Below are 24,118 nucleotides of genomic sequence, written 5' to 3'. Positions count from 1 at the left end.
AATCTTATAATGCAGAATGACTCTGGGATATGCAATATATTTCTATTCATTAAACATTTTCAGGCACTGTGAAAGACACTTGGGATGTAAATAAACGTTACATATGTTCCCTCAAGGATCTCACAATCCAGAGAAAGGTAAGAATGAGGAAATTACAATATTGTGTCACAATTACTATCTTATCCAAGACAGTGAAAAAGATGAACATTGGATTATTTATTCTATTATGTTTGTTAACTGCTTATTATTTTTCCATTCTTTGATATTTTCATTTCCATTAAGTATTGTGTTTACTGCTATATTCCCCTCTGTGTAATCCCTTCTATTAAGTATGAGTTAGTCTTATTGATGATGGCAGGAGGCAGATAGGTTCCTAGGTGGGAAGGGGCGGGTCTGCAGTGAGGCCCGACCTTCAAGCCAAGGATGGCCTGAAGCCTGGGGGTTGGGTTGCCAGTTCCAGATGGAGTCCAAGACATAGAGTAAGAACTTCCTTGATGCCTTTTGGACAATCAGGTGATGCTTTTTCCTGGCCCACCCATTGACCAATCAACGTGCACTTTCTCCATGGACCAATTCTCCTGCCCAGCATGTACTTCCTCCTTTTCGAGGACGGGCTCATAATAACCTTCCTGGGGTTATTCTGAGCCCATAAAAACCCCAGATTCAGTCCAACCCTGCCTGTGAATAGGAGCTACCCACTTCAGGTCTCTGCTGAGAACTGTTCTGTTGCTTAATAAAGCTCTTCTTCACCTTGCACACCCTCCAGTTGTCCACATAACCTCATTCTTCCTGGACACAGGTCAAGAACTCGAGACCCATGGAATGGCAGGCGTGAAAAGGGCTGTAACACTTCCCTGGCTGGCTCGCTAAGCTATGTGGGCAGTGACACACTCCTGTTTGTCAAACTGTGGGAGTGAAGCCTGGTGACTAGTGACTCTTCTGAGGGCCCAGACCTCGGGATTCCCCCTGCCAGAGCTGTAACACTATAGCCCTACCCACCTCCACTGGTGTGGGGTGGCTGCCCCATGCAATGGGAAGCAGCCGTGTGGCTGGGCCAGCCCAAGAGCTGTGGGCTGGAGTGGGGTGGTGGGACTGAACAAGCCGCAACACAACGGGCTGAAACCCACCCTGCATCCATTTACCAAGCTGCAGGTGGCGGGAAAGAGAGAGATGTAGCACGTGCTCCGCCCAACACCCCTTGGGGCTCTGACATTGTGGCATCGTCAAGTTTTCAGGCGCCACCGCATTCCCCTCGTCCAGGCCCGGTGCCTGCAGGGGAAGCTGCTTGCCGTATACCTGGTCCAGCCACAGCCTTGCATGGAGCCGGCACTAGGAGCTGCTTACTCCGCCACAGCAGACGGTGCGCCTGGCTGTGTACAGTGGCCAGACACCACGCTCACTCACACACCCTTCACTGCTCTGTGCCTGGCTCACCCTCGGCGGGCATGGGATCTGGGCCGGTAGTGCAAACCGAGTGCAGCCTGCTGAGCCAAGTGGGCAAAATTAGCCAAGTGGGCAAAATGAGCCCAGTGGGCATGAGCTAAACTCAAGCAGAGGCGCCAACGGCCACAGAGGTTTCTGGCTGGCGAAGTGACACCTGAAGGATCCTGTGACATTATTGACTCACTTCTAACAATTAGAACAAAGCAGAAGTGATGTGATGTCACTTCCAAGATGTTAGGTTCTAAAAAGACTGGCTTTCATGTTAGGTGCACTCTCTCTCACTCTTTCTGATGGATTACTCATGGTGGAGAAAGATAGCTTCCATGTCATGGAGCAGCCGTATGAATAGGCCTAAATGAGTAACCCTGCAAGTAGGTCTTCTGAGACCAGCCAACTGGTAGTGGGTGAGATTGGAAACCCCATTAAGACCTAAGATGCCTGTAGCTCCAGCCAACACTTTGTATCCTTGTGTGAGACCTACCCGGAGCCAGAGGACCCCACTAAGCTGTGCCTCGATTCCTAACCTAAAAGAAATGGTGAAGTAATAAACGTTTATTGTTTTAAGCTAGTAAGTTTCGGGGTGATTTGTTATGCAGTAATAGATAACTACCATACCATACTGTCAGGGGAAATTGACTCTGATCAGCAGGAAGAAGCAGGGCTGATTTTAGACAATAGGGCCGCAGAATCATTCATGTGGAGCACAGGAGATCTACTTGGCTACCTCCTGTGTTCCATCATAACTATGAATAGACAGGTGCAGCAACTTCAGACTGAAAAGGTCATGATTACCAAGGGTTCAGACCTTTAGAAATGAAGGTTTGGGTCACAATCCCAGGTCAGCAACCAAGACCCTTCAAGATGCTAGATGAGGGTGGGGGAGATTGGAATAGATAACTAGAAGATACCCTTGTGAATTTCCACTCAGAAAGAGAAGTCCATGAAGACCATGAGAGATCTGCTTCCCTAACATATGGGGAGAAAAATATCTATGTGGGTCATGGAATGAATTGCAGTGATCAGGAAATTGATGTACTCTTCTGCATCTCACAAGAAATAAATGAGACTTTCTGCCACTCCGCATCCTTGCTAGCAATTGGTATTGTCGATTTTTTAGATTTTAGTCCATTCTAATAAGAATGTAGTGGTATCTCCCTGTTTTCTGGTTTGCAATTTCCTAATAAAAAATGACATTGACTATCTTTTTACATGCTTATTTGCCATTTGCATGTCTTCTTTGTTAAGGTGTCAGTTCAGATATTTTGCCCATTTTTTAATTGGTTTACATGTTTTCTTATTGTTGAACTTTGGAGTTCTTTGTATATTTTGAATACAAAGCCTCTATTACACACACACACACACACACACACACACACACTGGTTTGTTTGTTTTTTTTTAATGTGAAAAGTCTTTGTTTGTAGGACACCAGGAATTTAATTGAACAGGCCAACTCTTCAGATGACTCCTCCTTCTTGTCATCTTTCTTCTGCAGCAGGGGTAGAACCAGCAGCAGGACCTGCAGAGCCCAGAGAAGCAGAGAGGGCCACAGCCCCACCAGCAGGCACACTGGCAAGCTCACCAATACCTTGGGCAATGATATCTTCAATATTTTTTCCATTCAGCTCACTGATAACCTTGTTTAGCCAGTCATCAGTTGCCTCCATGCCTACTCTGTCCAGGATCTTCTTAATGTCCTTGGCACTAAGGGAGGTGTTGCTCATGAGGGAAGGTAATAGGTAGGAAGTGAGATACACCATCTCAGTGGCAGTGGCAGTGGCAGTGGCAGAGGAGGGGCCTCATGGGTCATGGTATATATGTTTTGCAAATATTTTCTCCCGATCTGTGACTTGTCTTTTCTGGAACTTTGGAAATAAAGCTAAGGCACAGAACAAACAAACTTAAATGGTCTATCCAAGAGAAACTGCTGAATCTTAGTAAGCTAGTAGGGGTCTGTGATATTTTAACTTGGGGATCCCAAGCTCAGTGGCATCGTATTCAAACTCTGGCAGCCTTGCAGTCAGTAGAGAGGTTTGACCTCTTTTGGACCTCTGTTAAAAGAAGTAAAAGTCGTGTTCACTGAAAACTATAAAACATTGTAGAAAGAAATGAAAGATTTAAATAAATGGAAAGTCATCCCATGTTCATGGGTTGGAAAACAATATTATTAAGATGACAAAACTCCCCAAATTGATCTATAGATCCAATGCAATCTCTAACAAAATCACCGCTGGCTTTCTTGTTTTTTGTTTTGTTTTTTTGCAGAAATCAACAAGCTGATCTTAAAACTAATATAGAAATGCAAGAGACACAAAATAGTCAAAGCAATGTTAATAATGAAGGACAAAGTTGAAGGACTCACACTTCCTAATTTCCAAACTTACTACAAAACTACAGTTATAAAGAAAGCACGGTACAGGCATAAAAGTAAACATATGGATCAATGGAATAAATTGAGAGTCCAGAAATAAACTTTCAGATTTACGGTCAATGGATTTTTGACAAGGGTGCCAAGATAATTTATTGAGGAAATAATAGTCAGTTCAACAAATGATGCTGGGACAAGCATCAAATAGATATGCACATCTAAAAAGATGATGTTGGACTCCTTCCTCACACCATACATAAAAATTAACTCAAAATGGATCATAGACCTAAATGTATGTAGAGGCTGAACTATAAGACCCTAGAAGAAAACCCAGGTAAAAATTTTTATGGTCTTCATTTACACAGTGGTTTCTTAATACTTAAATTGGGCTTCATCACAATTTAAAAACTTTGTGCTTCAAGGAACACCATCAAGAAATTGAAAATACAGAATAGGAGAATATCTTTGCAAATTATATCTCCAACAAAGTACTTGTACCCAGAATATGTAAAGAACTTCTATATCTCAATAATAAAAAGACAAATAACTCAACTTAAAAAGTGGGCAAATGATTTGACTACACATTTCTCCAAAGAAGATATACAAATGGCCAATAAACACATGAAAAGATGTTCAATATCCCTAGTCATTAGGGAAATAAAAACAAAACCACAAGATAACTGCTTTGCAACCAACAGCGTGTCTATAATAAAGAAAAATGGCAATACCAAAGTGTTTTCAATAAAGTGGAAACTTAGTATCCTCTTACGTTGTTGGTGGGAATTAAAATAGAGTAGCTGCTTTGGAAAACATAGTGGCTGGGTGCAGTGGCTCACGTCTGTAATCCCAGCACTTTGGGAAGCCGAGGCAGGCAGATCACTTGAGGTCAGGAGTTTGAGACCAGCCTGGCCAACATGGCTAAACACAAAAATTATCCAGGCCTGGTGGCGGGTGCCTGTAATTCCAGCTACTCGGGAGGCTGAGGCAGGAGAATCGCTTGAACTCAGGAGGCAGAGCTTGCAGTGAGCTGAGATTGTGCCACTGTACTCCAGCCTGGGCAACAGAGTGAGACTCTGTTTAAAAAAAAAAAAAAAAAAAAAAAAACCTAAACATAGTGTTACTATATGGCCCAGCAATTTCACTCCTATGTAGAATATATAACCAACAGAAATGAAAACATATGTCTACACAAACTTACACTTAAATATTCATAGTGACATTACTCATAAAGACCAAAAAGTGGAAACAACTGAAATTTTCATCAACTGATGAATGGATAAACGAAATTAAGTATATCCATGCAATGGAATATTATTTGGCAATAAAAAAGAAGGAAGTACTGAAACATGTTACAACATGAATGGGCCTTGAAAACATTAGTTAAGTGAAAGGAGCCAGTCACAAAAGGCTGTATATTATATGACTCCATGTATATGAAATGTCTAGAATAGGCTAATGTATCCATATGAAAAGTAGATTAATGGTTGCCAATGGCTTGGGTTGGAAGTGAAGAGCAGGTGAAATGGAAAGTGACTGCGAAAGTACACAAGGTTTCTTTGGGGGATAATTATAATTTCTAAAATTCAACTGTGATGATGATTACAGAATTCTGTGACTGTACTTGAAAACCACTGAACTGTACTTCTTATTTTATTTATTTTCTGTTGAGAGAGGGTCTTGCTCTGTCACCCAGATTGGAGTGCAGTGGCGCAATCAGGGCTCACTGCAGCTTCCACCTTCCTGGACTCAAGTGATCCTCCCATCTCGGCCTCTCAAAGTGCTGGGATTACGGGCATGAGCCACCCCACCTGGCCTGAACTGTACTTTTGAATGAGTAAGTTTTATGGTATGTAAATTATATCCCAATAAATGTGTTAAAAATGAAACAAGCTTGAACCTGGCAGGGCCTGAACAGTACTTCTAAATGAGAAAGTTTTATGGTATGCAAATTATATCTCAATGAAGGTGTTAAAAATGAAATAAGCTTGAACTCAGCCTCCAGAGGTTGCAGTGAGCCCAGATTGCACCACTGCATTCCAGCCTGGGCAACAGAGTGAGACTCTGTCAAAAATAAAAAAGAAACAAAAAAGCTACAGATTAGGAGAAAATAATTGCTAAATATGTATCTGATAAAAGACTGTGTCTACAATATACAGAAAACTCTTGATAATAATAAGACAATTCATTTGATAAATGGGCAAAATATTTTAATGTATATTTTATAAAAGGAGCTATATAAATGGCTAATAAGTGCATGAAAATATGCTCAACATCGTTGGCCACTTAGACAATGCTAATTAAATACATAATGAGATATTGTTACATATACTCTAGAATGGCTATAATCCAAAAGGCTGAAAACATGTGTCAGTTAGGATGGGGAGAAATTAAAACCCTCATGTGTTGCTGGAGAAAATATAAAATGGTATAATCCTTTAGAAAACAGCTTAGTATTTTGTTAAAAATGTATATACATGGATTTGCCATACAACCTAGCATTTCTACTCCTAGATGTTTGCTCATGAAAAATGAAAATGTATCTATATAAAACATTGTCTATGCATTTTCATATAAACATTACTCAAAATAATCCGAACTGGAAACAATCATAAAGTACAACTGGTGAACAACTGTATAAATTTACTAAAAGTCATACAACAATAAAAAGCAAGTTAATGTTATGCTGCTTAATCAGAGGATAATAGGCTACATGGCTTCAGCCTATGAATGTCTACAGATAGCTATTCATCCTAATCTTTAACTAAACATTCCAAAACATCAGAACTTTTGGCTCTAGACAGTTATTTTGTTCCTAAGTTAAATTCCTTCTTTATTTATACTCACATACTCACAGAATCTCTGGGTTAGAAATCATCTTATCAGTTATGTAATCCAACCATCCTTCCAGTATTTGAATACCATATGAAATATTTCCACAAAGTGATATACTTGAATAACTGTTGCTAAGGACATTTTATTTTATTTTTTAAATTTTTATTTATTTATTTTTTTGAGACGGAGTCTTGCTCTTGTTGCCCACGCTGGAGTGCAATGGCATGATCTTGGGTCACTGCAACCTCTGCCTCCTGGGTTTAAGAGATTCTCCTGCCACAGCCTCCCGAGTAGCTGGGACTACAGGTGTGCACCACCATGCTCGGCTAATTTTTGTATTTTTAGTAGAGATGGGATTTCACCATGTTGTCCAGACTGGTCTCAAACTCCTGACCTCAAGTAATCTGCCTGCCTTGGCCTCCCAAAGTGCTGGGATAACAGGCCTGAGCCACTGTGCCTGGCCGGGAAATTTTATTATTCATGAAGCCAAATCATTCAATTTTTGTCTTCTACTGACTGTGAGCAAGTCCGTCCATACAACCAATATTGTCTCCACGTACTTCTTACAAGTTCTTTCTATTTTAGAAACCAACAAGTAAAGTCTAACTCCTTTTCTATGTGACATTTTCCCAAATTTTTCAATTTATCTGTCATTTCTTTTTCACATTTTGTTTCTCTGGACCTCAATGGAAATGGTTATCATGGATGCAATTTACCATAAAAACTCCCTATTAGGATAGGTATATCTGTTATAAGGATTATTATGAATTGAACTGAATTCAATAATCTACATGTGGTACCATGAATATATGTCCTTATTTCTATCTTTATAAGAGTCACTGCCAATCTTATAATTTCTACTATTACATAGAATATAACATGTAGTAAAAGCTTTTGCATTGATGTTCAATTTTATTTTTTATTTTTTTAGAGATGGGTCTTGTTATATTACCCAGGCTGGCCTTGACTCTTGGGCTCCAGTGATTCTCCTGCCTCAGCCTCCAAAATATGATGTTGTTTTATTCCCTAGATTTAGTTTACCATTGGTGGTTGGACCCGATTGCTCTTATATTTGAATATTTATGTCCTAATACAATAAAACCTCTCTTCTTGAGTAATTTCCATTAATCAACTTTTGAGTGAGCATATAGAAATAGATATGAACAAATAGAATTCTACTATTTTCTGGTTATTCTCTATGTCATAAAATAGATATCACAAAACACTTTATAAAAATTAACTTTATTAAAATGAGCTATGTGGAGAAATTATAGCCCTTGTGGACAGTTGGTGAGAATGAAAAATGATGCCACCATTACAGAAAACAGTATAGCAGTTTGTCAAAAAATTAAAAGTAGAATTACTGTATGATCTAGCAATTCCACTTTTGGGTATATACCCTAAATAACTGAAAGCAGGAATTCAGACAGATATTTATACACCGATATTCATGGCAGCATTATTCAACATAGCCAAAAGGTGAAAGCAACTCAAGTACCTATCAACTGATGAATAGATAAACCAAATGTGGTATATACATACAATAGAATATTATTCAGTCTTAAAAAGGGAAGAAATTCTGACACATGCTACAACATGGATGAACCTTAAAGACATTATGCTAAGTGAAATAACCCACAAAGCAAAAACACTCTATGATTTCATTCATATGAGGTATCTAGAGTATTCAAAATCATAGATGGAAAATAGAATAGTGGTTACCAGAGGCTGGTGGGGACAGAATATGGAATATGGGTAGTTATTGTTTAATGGGTACAGAGTTTTAGTTTCAGGAGATGAAAAAATTCTGGAGATTGACGCTCAATGTGAATGCACTTAATGCCACTGGCTGTACACTTAAAAATGGTTAAACTAGCAAATTTTATGTATATTTTACTACAAGTATAAAAAAAATCCAAAATACATTCTCCTTAAAATACAAACCACTTAAAAACTTAAAAGTGGTTTGTATTAGAAAAATAAATTTCTCAGAATTGCAAAAAAGGAGAGATAGTTTAATATGTCTTGTTCTATATGAATAATTAATATATTTTTTATATTCTCAAGGTAACTGATAATAGCTTAGTTACAGAAGTTACCAGTATAAAATTATACACCAGCACACCAATATAAATACTAGTTAAAAACCAAATCTACAATTATAAAATTAATTAAATCAATTAACCTCTCAATTTAAAAATTAACTATTTCAATTTCTGGAATTCTGTTTTCTCTTCTATGTCCTCATAATTCACCAAACTACACTGACATTGGCTTTGAGATACACATTTGTCTCCAGTAATCTGATCTGTCATTTATTTGGACCTTTAGCAATGAATTAATTTTCAGTGAGAAAATTATTGTCTTAAGCTTTAAATATACTTTATCAGTATTTTGCTTCCATGTATGTTTTTTATGATAATTATCCCTATTAGGAGAGAAAACTGAAGTCAGAACTTGGCAAACCAGATTTATTTCTCTGTTAACATTTTATTATGGCAAAAGTACATGGAGTTACTGTAGGTTTTCATAAGAAACATGATAAATATATTTTAAGCTATTGTATTTTCTACATGTATAATGCATTAGTAGAAGAAAACAATGGATAAAGAAGGGTAGCAAGGTTGTTAAATTATTATAATGTAAATGAATCACTCAACAATCAAAAGAATCAACTAATAATGTAAATGCATGCTACTTCCTCAGCACTATGATGACTTCTAAAGGTGTTGTGGTAAAATGTATGGTATAGTTTTTGTACCCTCAAGAATAAAATATAATTAGACTATTATTATGCAAGACAAAAGTACTAAACAAGAACTCTTTGGAAATCATTACATAATGTGCTATTTTGGAATCTAAGCTGTTAAGTGCTTTAGGGTTTAAGAGAACGGTAGATAATATTGATAGTTGGGAGAATTATGAAAAAAAATTCATGTAAAAGAAAATTAGCTGGACCTAATAAATATCTAGGGTTTGATTTGCAAAGGAAGTAAAAAGAATGCCTTCATTTAGTAGGAAAAACATGAGTACAGAAATATGGTAAGAAAATGGAAAATCTGGTTACAATTTTAGAATAAAAATTATTATAGATTTCCTTATGCTGATGCGGGAGTGGAAAATTTAAAATTAGAATTGTTAACCTCAGATCCAAATTTGAAGTGGTGGGGTTTGAGAGTTTCAGTGAGCCTCGTTTAACTAGTGTGTGTGTGTGTGTGTGTGTGTGTGTGTGTGTGTGATATTGGAGAAAGAACTTCTGGCTTTTCTACGGATCTAATTTACATTGAATTGTACAAGCATTGATGGGATGTTTGACAAACCTTGAAGATGTTGTGATTACAATTTTTGGTGAATTGGAAGGTCAATTCTGGGGGCTTGTTCAATGAAAACATTAAGGCAACAGAAGTAAATATAGCTCTTCATCAAGGAAATTTTATTTGAGGGAGTTTACATTGTTCTCTACAGTAACAACAAAAATAGGGCAACTTACAGAGAAGTTAGTAAGCTAAGTAAACATTTTGTCTTTAGCAAAGCTTATCATTTGCATATTTCTTATTTCTTGATTAAGAAGACTCTTGCAACCAACCTTTTAAAGCCTTCCTTTACCTCCTTGTTCCTAAGTGTATATATAAGGGGATTCAGCATGGGTGCAATGATTCCATAGAAGAGAGAAACCATCTTTCCTTGGTCCTTGGAGCTGGGCGAAGGTGGTTGCAGGTACACAGAGACGGCTGTACTATAAAAAAGAGACACCACAATTAGATGGGAACCACATGTCCCAAATGCTTTTTGTCGACCTTCAGCAGACTGTATCCTCAATACTGCTCGGACAATAAAAGCATATGATATAAGGATGAGTGTCAGGGGTATTAGATGGAAGAGCTCACTGACAAGGAATAGTTCAGCCTCATTTGCTGTTGTCTCAACACAAGATAACTTGAGCAGTGCAGGGACTTCACAGAGAAAGTGATCTATCACATAGGGGTCACAGAGTGGCAGCTGGAGAGTCAGGGTAGACAACCACACTGAGTTACTAAAACCAGTAACCCAGGATGCAGCTGCCAACTGGAGGCAGAGTCTCTGGTGCATGATAACTGAGTAATGGAGAGGCCGACAAATAGCTACAAACCTATCAAAGGACATGACGGCCAGGAGAAGATATTCAGTAGCCCCCAAGGCCAGAAATATGAAAAGCTGGGCTACACAGCCACGATAACTGATTACTTTCCTGATGCTGCATAAATTTACTAGCATTTGTGGGACTGTACATGTGGTGTAACAAAGATCCAGGAGTGATAGATTGGTAAGAAAAAAATACATGGGGGTATGAAGTTTGGTGTCCAGGCGTGACACTAGAATAATGGTCAGATTGCCAAAGATGGTCACAGTGTAAGAAATCAAGAAGACCACAAGGAGTGGAAACTCCAGCCAAGGTCGATCTGAGAAACCCAGCAGAATAAACTCCTGTATGATGCTGTCATTTACCCAATTCATGATTAATGTTTCAACTCTTGGTTTCCTGAAACAGAAAAATTCAGGAAGTCAATTAACACATATTTGTTAACTATTTCAGTTACTTATAGTCATTTTACTACCTGTTTGAAGATATTTACAGAATTGATATTGCTTGTTTTATTACATGAAAAATATACAGTTGAAAATGCTCATAATTACCAAAGTATTTCTAAAATTTAATCTTTCTATATCTGTATCATCACTGCAAAAGTGAAAGCTAAAATGTAAAAAGTAGATTCCTGATTTTAAACAACTTTCACAAAATTTCTTCTTTGATTTTTTGTCATTTGGTTAATTTTTGTAATACTGTCCACATAGATAGCTATTATTAGATTCGGTCATAATCTCTAACACATTTTTTTCACTCTAATTTCTCAATGTTAAGGAAACTGCCTTGTCATCTGAAACAAACAATTTGTTAGTTTCTTAAATTTTTTTTTATTTCAATAGGTTTTTGGGGAACAGGAGGTGTTTGGTTACATGAATAAGTTCTCTAGTGGTGATTTCTGAGATTTTGGTGCACCCACCACCTGAGCAGTGAACACTGTACCCAATGTGTAGTCTTTTATCCTTCAGCTCCCTCCTTCCCTTTCCCCCCAGTCCCCAAAGTCCATTGTGTCATTCCTCATAGCTTAGTTCCCACTTATGAATGGGAACATACGATGTGAAACAATTAAAATTATTTAGACCGCCTCAAAAACTATGCATATAGGCTGTAGCAAGCTATTAGACACATCTCAGGGAAACATCTTTTGCCTTCTAAGACCTTATCAAATTAGAATAAAAAGATATTAGTAGCATGGAATTTGGAGGCAGACAAGTCTGGGTCCATGTCCCTACTACATAAGTCATTAGTTACATCCTCCTGGGAATGTTTCTTACTCTTTGTGAGCTTCAAGCTCCTCACCTATAAAATGAGTATAATAATACCTTCCTGGGATAGTGGTACAAAGTGTAGACAAAAGGAACTGTAGTCATCTTCTGATGCTCAGAGAAAAATTATGTATGATTTTCAGAACTTTAAATGTCCTGGGGTTGCCAATAAAAAATGACTCTGTGAGGTAATATTTATCTTGTTCTCTCCACAACTCCAATACCATCAACTTTAACAACAGAGATAATAATAACTATCTGATGTGAAGTATAAATGTGATCTTTAATGTAAATTACCTGGTATAATGGCACACAGCAATGTGAATGAAAGTATCATATGACACAGGAACTCTGAGACATTCGGGGCAGAGGCTGTTCAGAGCCCTAAATTTGCTAAGTACTAATATAAGTCAATGCTACCAGTTAAAAATTTCCAAATCATCTATCTTGCTACCACCACCCTCTATTGTTTTATTATAATTTTGTTAGTGTAAAAATGTCAATTTAAGGATAGGATCATAAATTTTAAACTATTATTCAATATGTATTTCAATTTTGCTCACTTATTCTACAGTTCTCAGTATAAAATGGCAGGGAAAGCTTTTATAGCCTCTCAAATGAGTCCCTGCATATTATTGACAGCTGCATATTATTGACATGCTATGCAGCTGTCAATAAAATTAGGAATGTGGTATAGATATAAATTCAGATATAGATATACATGTACAAAAACATTCAAATCCTTAAGGAAAAAAACAAGTTTCTGAACATGTATTTAGCATGCTTCCATGTGTTTACATAAGGGAATATAATCATATTGGTCAGTATTCATATATGTATAAAATTACCTGGAAGTATACAGAAGTGTTAAAAGCTGTTACTTCTGGGGAATGGAAATGGAAAGAGGGAGAAAAATCAGATTTTGATATTTAACTTTATCCTTGCTTTTTCTAATTTTTAACAAATATAATGCTTTTTATTATTAATAAAGATTATTATGTATTATATAATAACTTTAAGTGAGGACATATTCATACTGTATGTTTTACTATAAAGACAAGCATTGCTTTAGACTTTATAACTGAAACAATCTTATATGAATTTAGACTTTTATCTCAACAAATTTTTAAAACAGGATCTACATTAATCTACATGGACATTTTCTAAAGACTGGAATGCAAGGGCATTGGGCATTCGGCATCTTATTGACAAAAAAAAATCAAAAAGAGTTGCCACTCATTATAGGAATTCTGAAAAGCAGAACAAATGGAATCCATAAAAAGAGATTTCACAAGTTCACAATTTCCTTGAATTAACAAGTGTTGGAAAATACCCTCAGTCTATATAATTAGGGTCACTGCATATCTCAGTTTGCACAGGACTGCGAGTTTACTCCTGCTGTTCTGACACAATTACTAATAGAACCCTTCAGTCTTCAAAAGAGTTCATGTTTGGGTGATAAGTTATAAGGTCTCTCTAGCTGTAATATTGGAGACTAAAATAATTTTCAAATTATTGTTCAAGAGATACCTCATCACTGAGGACACTGCATATGCTTTCTCCTTACTTGGGCCAGTGGCTTTCCCTGACCAGCCCTGTATCTGGCATTTCTCTGCTAGAATACAGCCAAAAACAAACTCTCCAAGAAGCCCTGACTAATGAAAATTCTAGAAGGGAGGAATTCAATTAACTTCTACTCTTTCTCACTGAGGTTCAGCAATTACAAAAGTATTAAATGCACTTCTGTTATAGGTAATGTCCATGATCCACAGCAGTGAGGGAAATTTTGCCCCAAATTTCTCCTGCATGAGAACAAAAGTACTGGGGAGACTGTAGTACAACTCATTCTTATATTCTGCTTTGCTAACTTTTGGGGCAAAATTTCCCCATCTTTCAAATATCCAGTAACCTCTTTACATATCCACTCTAAAAGAGAGAACTTTTGTTAAAAAGTTGAAAAATTGTCTGGGTGTGGTGGCTCACGCCTGTAATCCCAGCATTTTGGAAGGCTGAAGTGGGTGGATCACCTGAGGTCAGGAGTTCAAGACCAGCCTGGCCAACATGGTGAAACCCCTTCACTACTAAAAATACAAAAATTAGCTGGGCATGGTAGCACACACCTATAATCCCAGCTACTCAGGAGGCTGAGGCATGAGAATCACTTGAACCTGAGAGATGGAGGTTGCAGTGAGCTGAGATAGTGCCACTGCACTCCAGCCTGGGCAACAGAGTGAGACTCCATCTCAAAAAAAAAAAAAAAAGTTGAAATATTATCTTGCACACAGAAGTTTCAAGTAATTTGAATTGTTATTCTTATCACTATCATTGGATTGGAAGGACTTGTTAACAATGGAAACAAGTAGGAATCTTGTATCTCTGAAATCCTCGCAGATAGCATAACCAATTATTTACCTGATTACACCTGTGCTGATGGTGGTGCCCAGTCATGGCTGAGATCGCAAAAGGCTACACAATCTATTTCTCTGGTCCTGAATAGAATTCTGTTTACAGCATCTTCAGAGGATATCATTCTCATTTTGAGTTAACGAGCTTTCCTTTGGTCAACATAGGAACATATTTTCATAATGTGAGACAAAAGGGATCAGATTGCATAGCAACTATCTTACAACTGCAGGTAAGAAAAAGTGAGTATTGGGCCAGGCACAGTGGCTCCTGCCTGTAATCCCAGCGGGAAGCTGGGGCTGATTGCTTGAGTCTGGGAATTCCCAGCATTTTTGGGAAGCTGAGGCAGATCGCTTGAGTCCAGTCCAGCCTGGGCAACATGGCAAAACCCTGTCTCTACCAAAAATACAAAATTAGCTGAGTGTGGTGGCATGCGCCTGTAGTTTCAGCTACTCAGGAGGCTGATGTGGGAGGATTGTTTGAGCCCAGGAGGTTGAGGCTGCAGTGAGACATGATCGCACCACTGCACTCCAGCCTGGGCAACAGAGACCCTGTCTCAAAACAAAACATAACAAACAAAGCAAAAACAAAATTGAGTACTGTAAAAAGCAACAGTTGAAAAGGGTTATTTGGACCTTTAGAACTTTTATCTATACATAACTCAGGATATTTCAATTTTATTGTCTGAATAAATACAATCACCACCCGTTTGCTTGTATATTAGTTGGGATTGCATCCATCAGCTACATACTGAAGTTATTCAGTATATGGCTGACAGAGGATTCTGAATGACGAGGTTCAACAAAGTCCTGAAAACTTTATTTTAAGCTGTTTACTATGCAGTGAGCATTGAGATAAGAAATATGACAACAGCTGTAGTTTAGATGCTGCTACTAAGTCACTTCACTACTGGGCAAGTTACTCAATGGCTTTGGGAAGCAGTTTAATCTATGGTAACACCAGAGTTTTCTGTTTTCCATTCGACATAAAAATTGTTTGCTTCTAAGTTTTCTATAATTATCATACCTCTGAGAATGTATAAAAAGCTTTAAATATACTACAGTGAACCCCCATGTTCCTGCTGGAGTATAAGGATAAATACTAGGAGTAATTTTTCACACAACAGTGCAATTTGGCTTAGAATAGATGAAAAGTTTGCCAATATTTTTTGTCTGTTTCACAAAAGGTTAATTATTCAGGTAGAAATCTGAATTTAGAGGTTCAGAGAGATTATTTTCATAGGCTAGATTATTTTCATAGGCAGACAGAAGGTTCAAATCTAAGACTGCTCTGCTCTCAAGTTTTAATTTCCAGTAGAGATAACAAAACATTGCAAATAGCAGTATAAAACAAATAAATGGAATTAAGAAACTGGAGCCTTAGTCAAATTTTTCTGAGTGAGATAATCATAAACGTCCATAAGTGCTCAAAACACCCAAATTTTAGCAGGTTTTATATAATAAATTTCTTAAATGTGTTCTACATACCTCTATTTTAAGCATTAGTGATAGGATGATTTGTGTGTCCAAGAAGCTTTAAATTCAAATAGGATGAACTGGAGGCATGTGGATTCAATAACCTCTTCGTAAGCTATTAATTGTAAAAACTGATATGGTGAAGTTTGTTCATTTTTCCCTTGTTTCACGCTGTAAGTGGCAAATTATAAGATATCCATTCAGGATTAATTTAGAAAATATGAGAATAGGTACAAAGCATTACAGATGATCAGACATGTTTTTCTGATATTATATTACCAAGTATGAAGGTATTTATTGATCTTTCCAGAATTCTCCTCACCAGGTTTACAAAATAAATGAGAGGGATAGGAAACTATTTTTGAATGTCGGGTGTTCTCTGGCTTACAGGGGAAGATAACAACCCTCATGTGGTTTATGGTAATTGACCATGGTATCTGATGGGAAGAGAGAAGGAGGAGATCTCTGTGATGTGATACTTCATTTTAGTTTAGATTTGCTCCCTGATACCCTTTCTCTGGGGATTGTCTCCTCAATTGTTTCTGAGACAAAAGGGAACGACAGCAGGGACTAAAATACTTTATCAAATAAAGTCTGGATTTTGTGCCATTAAACTGAGTGTTCGTTTCCTTTTTACTAATCAAGTTCTGTCAAGCCACAGAAAACTGTCCATTTACTCTGAAATCCTGAGGTCAGTATCTATGCAATAAAATAGGCTTCCAGTTAATTTGATGTAGAAATATTTTTACCTTGATTTACATAAAGTAGTTTTCTTCATTATATATCCAAATAGGCTTCTTTTCTTTCATAGATTTTGAATTTCTAGCCTTAGTTGAAAAGCTCTTCGGGTCAATGTAATTTCCTAGATTTTTTTCCAAGATTAAAAAGAGATTTATATTTTTCTATAGTTTTTCTATACAGGATTTGTTTTTATACATTCTAATATATAGTTTCCTCAGCTTTCAAGGATGAGTAGATATGAGAAAATATATTTGTGGTTATGTAAAAGGTTGGTATCTACAATATAAATAGAGTTTTTATAAAGCCCAAGAAAAACACAAATAACACAATTGAAAAAATGCTAAATAATATGACCATATACATACTGTGAACTCAGAATAGCAAATCTATATAAGATTTTAAATTCCCAAATATTCAGACAAATATATTAAAGTAGTAATGATGAGTCACTTATCAGATTGAAAAAACAATGTAACTAGCAGTAACTCCTGAATGTTGCTGAAGGAAAAAACCTCTCATAAATTATGGTTAGAAATTCAAAGTGTCACTGACATTTTAGAAATAAATAGGGCAGTTAATCTTGAAAAAAATACTCTGTTCATCAACATAGCAATGGCATTCATGGAAATCTATCCTATGGAATAAAATATACTGGTACACAAATCGTAGAAACAATAATTTTTATTGTAGCAATGTTTGTGGTGGCCAAAGTAGAGAAAAAATTAGTTTCTCAATAGGAAATTGACTAGTAATTAACCTAATCCAGAAGTATTTGCCTGTGATGTTGCTGAGTGAGAAAATGAAGATGTAAAAAAGAATAAATAACATGATCTTAATTATATAAACAATGACTAAAACACTCTCAATATAACTGTATGTATTGTGCGCCTGCATGGAATTATACGAGAGTGAAGAAGAATAAAGAACACTTGTTAGCTCCTTCATGTGGGCAATCTGGAGCACAGAGGCTGATAGCTGTGAAGGGAGAAGGAAGGGGCATCAAGTAAACCAGGGAAAAAGACTAAGATGTAATCCACAAAAAATAATGTATAGCATTTAAAACCTTCCCAAACTAATAACAGTGCTTATCTCTGAAAGTAAGAGTGAGCGTGAGGGCGGGATTAGTCAGAGGAAAATGTTTATAATGTTGGATTTTCTTTTTTCTCATAAATGCTTACAATAGATAATTTAAATAAAGGCAATAGTATTTAAAGAAAAAAAAACAGAGGGCTAAACAAATAAGAAAATAAAGACAAATCTTTAGTTTGCAGAGTGAACCAAGGTAAATAAACTAAAAAAATTCAGTAGTCCTTAAAGTGAAAAATTAAGAAATAATGCTCAGTTATCAAAGGGACTGGAAACAGGGAAGAATCTGTAGTTTAATAATAATAGTATCAATGTTTACTATGCTTACAATGTCCTATAAAATTGCTACACTTTATCTTTATTTTTTTAATGTGGAAATGGAGGCTTAGAGAGGTTAAACAAACTTTCCAAAATTAACATAATTTGTTAGAAAGCCTAGATATACTATGAATCTACATTTTGGTTTAAGTTTAATTTCTCCTCTTTGACTAATGCTTAAGGATGATTCTTGCCAAACTCAACACTCCCCACTTACTCTAATTTCCCAGAGGACCACTTACTTGATTAGTAGTGAAAGATCTCTTGAAACAATATAACTATAATTTTGTGTATTAATTTCTGACCATCTAATCAATTACCTCTCCTTATATCAGAATGAAATAGGCTTGGCTACAGTAATATTTTAGTGACTAGCCTTGGGGGTTGGATCAGTCAGGCTTAGCTCTCAGGAAGAACTTTGTATATAAGAGGGAACTGAGCATTGAGAAAGACAGTTTTAATAGTACTTTAGGAAACACCAAGTATTAAATATTTGAGAGACTAAGTAAAAATTTAACATGTTCTGAAGCAAGGCTGATTTGCAGTATAAATTAAAGTAGGATACCCAAACCTCATTCTTAGTTTACATTTTCCCTTTTATGATGGGAAGGTCAGCAACATCATTATGTTTAGTATGTAGAAGCTCAGATAAAACTTGGAGCATTCTTGGATTAGATGGGTTTCCATGAACTGATATTATGACTCAACAAATTTTAATTACTGCCCCCAAAATTAGAGTGGGCATGATTCTGGAAGAATTCAGGCCTTTTCATAAATGTAATCTTGGTATCTTATACCTGTATATTGGGTATATGTAGAGTTCAGGCAGGGTCTAGCTAGGCCCCCAAAAGCAAGGATTCAAGAATGGAAGCTAGACACAAATGCATAGGAAAATTTGGAAAAGTGTGACATTGAGAACCTTACAGAACTTAGTGGTCTTAGAAATAGTATTCTAGTTTGTGAAAGCATAGGAATGTGTGAATGTTTTAGTGGGGGAGCTGAATAAATCCTTAGCAATATTTATCTCATTCTGATGCCCATATTTGGTTGAAATATACTTTATGTTATTCTTTGCACTGAATGTTTTGCAAAAATTATTGAGTGGAAATAAGTTCTTTCATGTATATATATGATGAATGCACTGTGGAAAGGAAAAGTAATGAGGTAGAACATAATGTTTTATATAAAATTCTGTCTTGCAAATTTGCTGAAAATTAGAATCAAATTCTATGTCAATAAGGCAGGTGAGCCAGTTGTATTTTCTGTAAAAGAAATTCTATAACAGCAGAAAAGGCTGAAGATGTTGGCTCACATTAAGAGGAAATGAGGGTGGTGTGGGGAGATGCTGAAATTCTACAATTATAAAAACCTTCCATACTGAAATTCATAAGAATAATGATTTTAAAACAGTGAATAGTAAGATCACGTGATAAGAGAAATATCTGGAGTAACCGAAGACAACAATAAGGTTTCCTTCAAAACAGGACAGTCAAATTAGTGATTCACTTAATTTGATGCTGCAATTATCAAAAAGAAGTTATTTGAGTACAAAGATAAAAGTGTTCTTTTGAGGCTTCCTTTTAAAAATACCTCCTGTAGTAAAATCTGTCATTTTTATTGTCACAAAATCTTGATCAAATTGTCTCCCCATTTCATTTTACTATTTATCTGTTGCTGATATGTATAGATACAATTGATTTTTGTGCATTGATCTGTTTTCCAGTGACCTTCATGAACGCATTTAATTAGTCTAATAGTTTCTTTGTAGACTCTTTTGCATTTGAACACACACAATCATGTCATTGGGAAAAAAATGATAATTATACTTCTTTCCATTTCTAGTGTATTTTATTTATTTTTCTTGTCTTATTACACAAGCTAGGACCATCAGTATAATGCCAAAAAGAAGTGATGATTGTGGGCCTCTGTGTCTCATTCAATACCTTATAGTTGTGTATGATGTCTGCTGCAGGTTTCTTGTAAGTATTCTTCATCAGCTTAAGTGAGTTTTCACTGTATTCCTAGTTTGCTAAGATTTAAATAGGGGTTTGATTTTATCAAATGCTTTGTCCAAATCTGTAGAGATTTGCCAAATTTTTTTAAAAAATTGATAAATAGTACGAAATGATTTTCAGATGTTACACCACTCTATCCTGCGATAAACAACACGAGTGCAATATGCTATACTTCTTGTATAACACTAGATAAAATTGGTTAACAAAATTGTTTAGGATTTTTATATCTAGGCTCACAAGAGATTGGTCCCTAGTTTTCCTTTCTTGCAATGTCCTTATCAGATTTGGTATTTAAATTATGGTGGCCCTACAAAAGGAGTCATAAATTGTATCTGCTATCTATTTTCAATATAATACTATGGAAGAAATAACCACAAAATCCCTGGGACATCCAAAAATACTTATTTTTGCTTAGAAGTCCCTGGTTTAGCTGAGTGGTTCAGCTCCTCAGGTCTCATTCATGTGTCTGTGGACAATACAGTTTGGCACAATAATTTTACTAGCCTTGGCTGAAGCATCAGTTGAGAAAGAAAACTGGGCTAAAATAGCTCTACTCAGTGTATGTCATTTTTCACTTTGCTATCCTGAGCATGTTCTCAAGATAAAATTGGAGAAGCATGAAAGAGAGTTGGAAGCAGGCAAAGCCTCTGGCATATTCTGTGGACCAAAGAAGTCACAAAACAATTCAGATTCAAGGGCTCAGGGAATAGACTTTACTTCTTGATGGGAGATGCTACAAAGTTACATTGTAAGTGGCATAAACACAGAGAGGGCTATAGAATTAGAAATATTTTTATAATCAATCTATCATAGTTAACAATCTTTTCATATAAGAAATATGCTTACTTCTTTCCAAGATCCCTAAAAGTCTGTCCAATCATGGCATCATGCTCAAAGTCCAGGATCCTATGACCAGCATTGCATTTGGATGCAGCTCCTCTTATCCGCAGACCCACTCTAATAGATACCACGGTGCTCCACCCAGATAACATCTTCAGGGCCAAGGTACTCATCCCCAAGGTCCTAAGATACTGATGACTGATGAATCATCCCTAGAAATTTCTTTGGCCATAGGGAAATGCCTTGGCCAAGGTTTTACCTCCTCCACAGTTTACAAAGACTCATCTTCTTTGCTTCTATTGGGAAAACTCTGAAAGGCCAGCCTAGCTCCTAAGCTCCCCATAAGATTTTCCGAGTTGCAGCCTCAGCTATAAATGCATTTTGGATACTCCTCCAACCTATTTACCAATAGGGAAGGTTTCCATCTCTGAGTGGGCCCCAGAACAGGAAAAGGCTCTTTAGAAATTCCAGACTGCAACATAATTATAGTATTCCACAACTCTAGGCATCATGTGAAGCCACAGGTTAAACTCCAATAGTAGAATTGTAGTGCAGACCCTTAGGGTTCTTAAAGTTATCTGAAATAGAGAACTATAAATGTTTGTAAAACCAGTTTATGGCATGCTATTAGGCACCTGTAGAGTTACAGAGTCTGACCACATGACGTCAAGTAACTATGAGGCAAGAACTGCCCATCATGAGCTGGGTTGCATCCAGATTCATCAAATCATAAGATTGGGTGGGCCGTTGGCAATGCAATATTAGATGGAAATGGTATATCCTGGACAGGGCACAAGCAAGGCTGGCAGTCTAAGTAAGCTTCATGAGCAGGTAGCCTGGTCTTATATGTCATCTTTTTTGCATTGGGACCTCTCCTTCAGTTCATTTCTATGTCTGTCTGTGGCAGAGATTGGGGGTGGCCAATAACTAGCCTGCAGTAGAGAAGAAAGCTCATACATAGCTCATAGATGAGCCAGCCCAATGTGTTAACAGGAGCTGAAAATGGATTGCTGTTACACTACAACACCACTCATGAGTGGTCCTAAAGACACTGGTGAGAAATCTTCCCAATGGGCAGAACTCTGGGAAGTGAACTTGGCCATCTATTTCTGTGTGTGAAAAAAGAAGTGACCCAAGAAAGAATATAATGGGAGGTACAAAATGGCCTGGCTGATTAATTAAGGAGCAAGAATGGAAGATCTGAGACCAATTTGTCTGAAACAGGGATATGTAGATGTTTACATGGAAGTTAGTATAAGTGCGAAGAACTTTGCATTGCACCTTAATGTCCATGAGGGAATATCCATTATGGAAGATGGACTCAACATCTGGGTAGTTGCCTAAGCTAGCTGGCATCAGCCAGCCTCTATCATTAACCATCCCAGTCCTGGCACAACGGAGTTGTAAATGCAGTAGTTCTGGTAAAAGAGATGGAGGCAATGTGTGGACCGAACATCACTGGCTCCCTCTTATCGAAACTGATCTAGCAAGTTGGTGACCAAATTGGAGACAAGTTTACCACCTTAGACCCTTTCCAAATCAGAAGAGGCAGCAATTTATTTTGAAAAGTATAGACAAGAATATGCTAGGTATGAGCCTATCTTTCTTGCCTATAAGGTTTCAACCTTCTTTACTATCTGGTGGTTTATACTAGAGTGGCATGAGATTTCATGTAACATTTTGTAAGGAATAATGCAGTGAAGAACTTTTCAGTGAAGAAAGTATGGCAGTGGGTAAATGATTATGACTGCATTGGTTGTGTCATATATTACACCACACAGAAGCTGCTATGGGATGCAAGGCTGGTTCAATATATGCAAATCAATAAATGTAGTCCAGCATATAAACAGAACCAAAGACAAAAACCACATGATTATCTCAATAGATGCAGAAAAGGCCTTTGACAAAATTCATCAACACTTCATGCTAAAAACTCTCAATAAATTAGGTATTGATGAGACGTATCTCAAAATAATAAGAGCTATCTATGACAAACCCACAGCCAATATCATACTGAATGGGCAAAAACTGGAAGCATTCCCTTTGAAAACTGGCACAAGACAGGGATGCCCTCTCTCACCACTCCTATTCAACATAGTGTTGGAAGTTCTGGCCAGGGCAATTAGGCAGGAGAAGGAAATAAAGAGTATTCAATTAGGAAAAGAGGAAGTCAAATTGTCCCTGTTTGCAGACGACATGATTGTATATCTAGAAAACCCCATTGTCTCAGCCCAAAATCTCCTTAAGCTGATAAGCAACTTCAGCAAAGTCTCAGGATACAAAATCAATGTACAAAAATCACAAGCATTCTTATACACCAATAACAGACAAACAGAGAGCCAAATCATGAGTGAACTCCCATTCACAATTGCTTCAAAGAGAATAAAATACCTAGGAATCCAACTTACAAGGGACGTGAAGGACCTCTTCAAGGAGAACTACAAACCACTGCTCAAGGAAATAAAAGAGGATACAAACAAATGGAAGAACATTCCATGCTCATGGGTAAGAAGAATCAATATTGTGAAAATGGCCATACTGCCCAAGGTAATTTATAGATTCAATGCCATCCCCATCAAGCTACCAATGACTTTCTTCACAGAATTGGAAAAAACTACTTTAAAGTTCTTATGGAACCAAAAAAGAGCCTGCATCGCCAAGTCAATCCTAAGCCAAAATAACAAAGCTGGAGGCATCATGCTACCTGACTTCAAACTATACTACAAGGCTACAGTAACCAAAACAGCATGGTACCGGCACCAAAACGGAGATATAGATCAATGGAACAGAACAGAGCCCTCAGAAATAACGCTGCATAGCTACAACTATCTGATCTTTGACAAACCTGAGAAAAACAAGCAATGGGGAAAGGATGATTCCCTATTTAATAAATGGTGCTGGGAAAACTGGCTAGCCATATGTAGAAAGCTGAAACTGGATCCCTTCCTTACACCTTATACAAAAACTAATTCAAGATGGATTAAAGACTTAAACGTTAGACCTAAAACCATAAAAACCCTAGAAGAAAACCTAGGCATTACCATTCAGGACATAGGCATGGGCAAGGACTTCATGTCTAAAACACCAAAAGCAATGGCAACAAAAGCCAAAATTGACAAATGGGATCTAATTAAACTCAAGAGCTTCTGCACAGCAAAAGAAACTACCATCAGAGTGAACAGGCAACCTACAAAACGGGAGAAAATTTTTG

General features: G+C 37.0%; 1 protein-coding gene and 1 pseudogene across 1 annotated transcript, besides 1 other annotated feature; both read right to left on the bottom strand.

Moving 5' to 3' along the window:
- Nucleotides 1,320–1,478: a silencer, noted in NCBI's record as "fragment chr6:27934676-27934834 (GRCh37/hg19 assembly coordinates)". NCBI's record gives its function as "represses an EF-1alpha promoter that drives an FKBP-Casp9 reporter gene in an ReSE screen in HepG2 liver carcinoma cells {active_cell/tissue: HepG2}" and the evidence as "EXISTENCE:reporter gene assay evidence [ECO:0000049][PMID:32094911]".
- Nucleotides 2,844–3,248, bottom strand: RPLP2P1 (ribosomal protein lateral stalk subunit P2 pseudogene 1; annotated as a pseudogene).
- On the bottom strand, nt 10,194–11,135 carry OR2B6 (olfactory receptor family 2 subfamily B member 6). Its single transcript, NM_012367.1, has one exon. It carries the CDS (start codon nt 11,133–11,135, stop codon nt 10,194–10,196), a length of 942 nt encoding a protein of 313 aa, NP_036499.1.
- Nucleotides 11,136–24,118: the final 12,983 nt, after the last annotated feature.

Source organism: Homo sapiens, chromosome 6, assembly GCF_000001405.40.
Source record: "Homo sapiens chromosome 6, GRCh38.p14 Primary Assembly".
Classification (NCBI taxonomy): domain Eukaryota; kingdom Metazoa; phylum Chordata; class Mammalia; order Primates; family Hominidae; genus Homo; species Homo sapiens.
Note: the sequence above shows the minus strand (reverse complement) of the source record. Positions and strands in the feature narration are given on the sequence as shown.

Coding starts and splice junctions, on each gene's coding strand:
- OR2B6 (NM_012367.1), bottom strand. CDS start 11,135: ATGAATTGGGTAAATGACAGCATCATACAGGAGTTTATTCTGCTGGGT.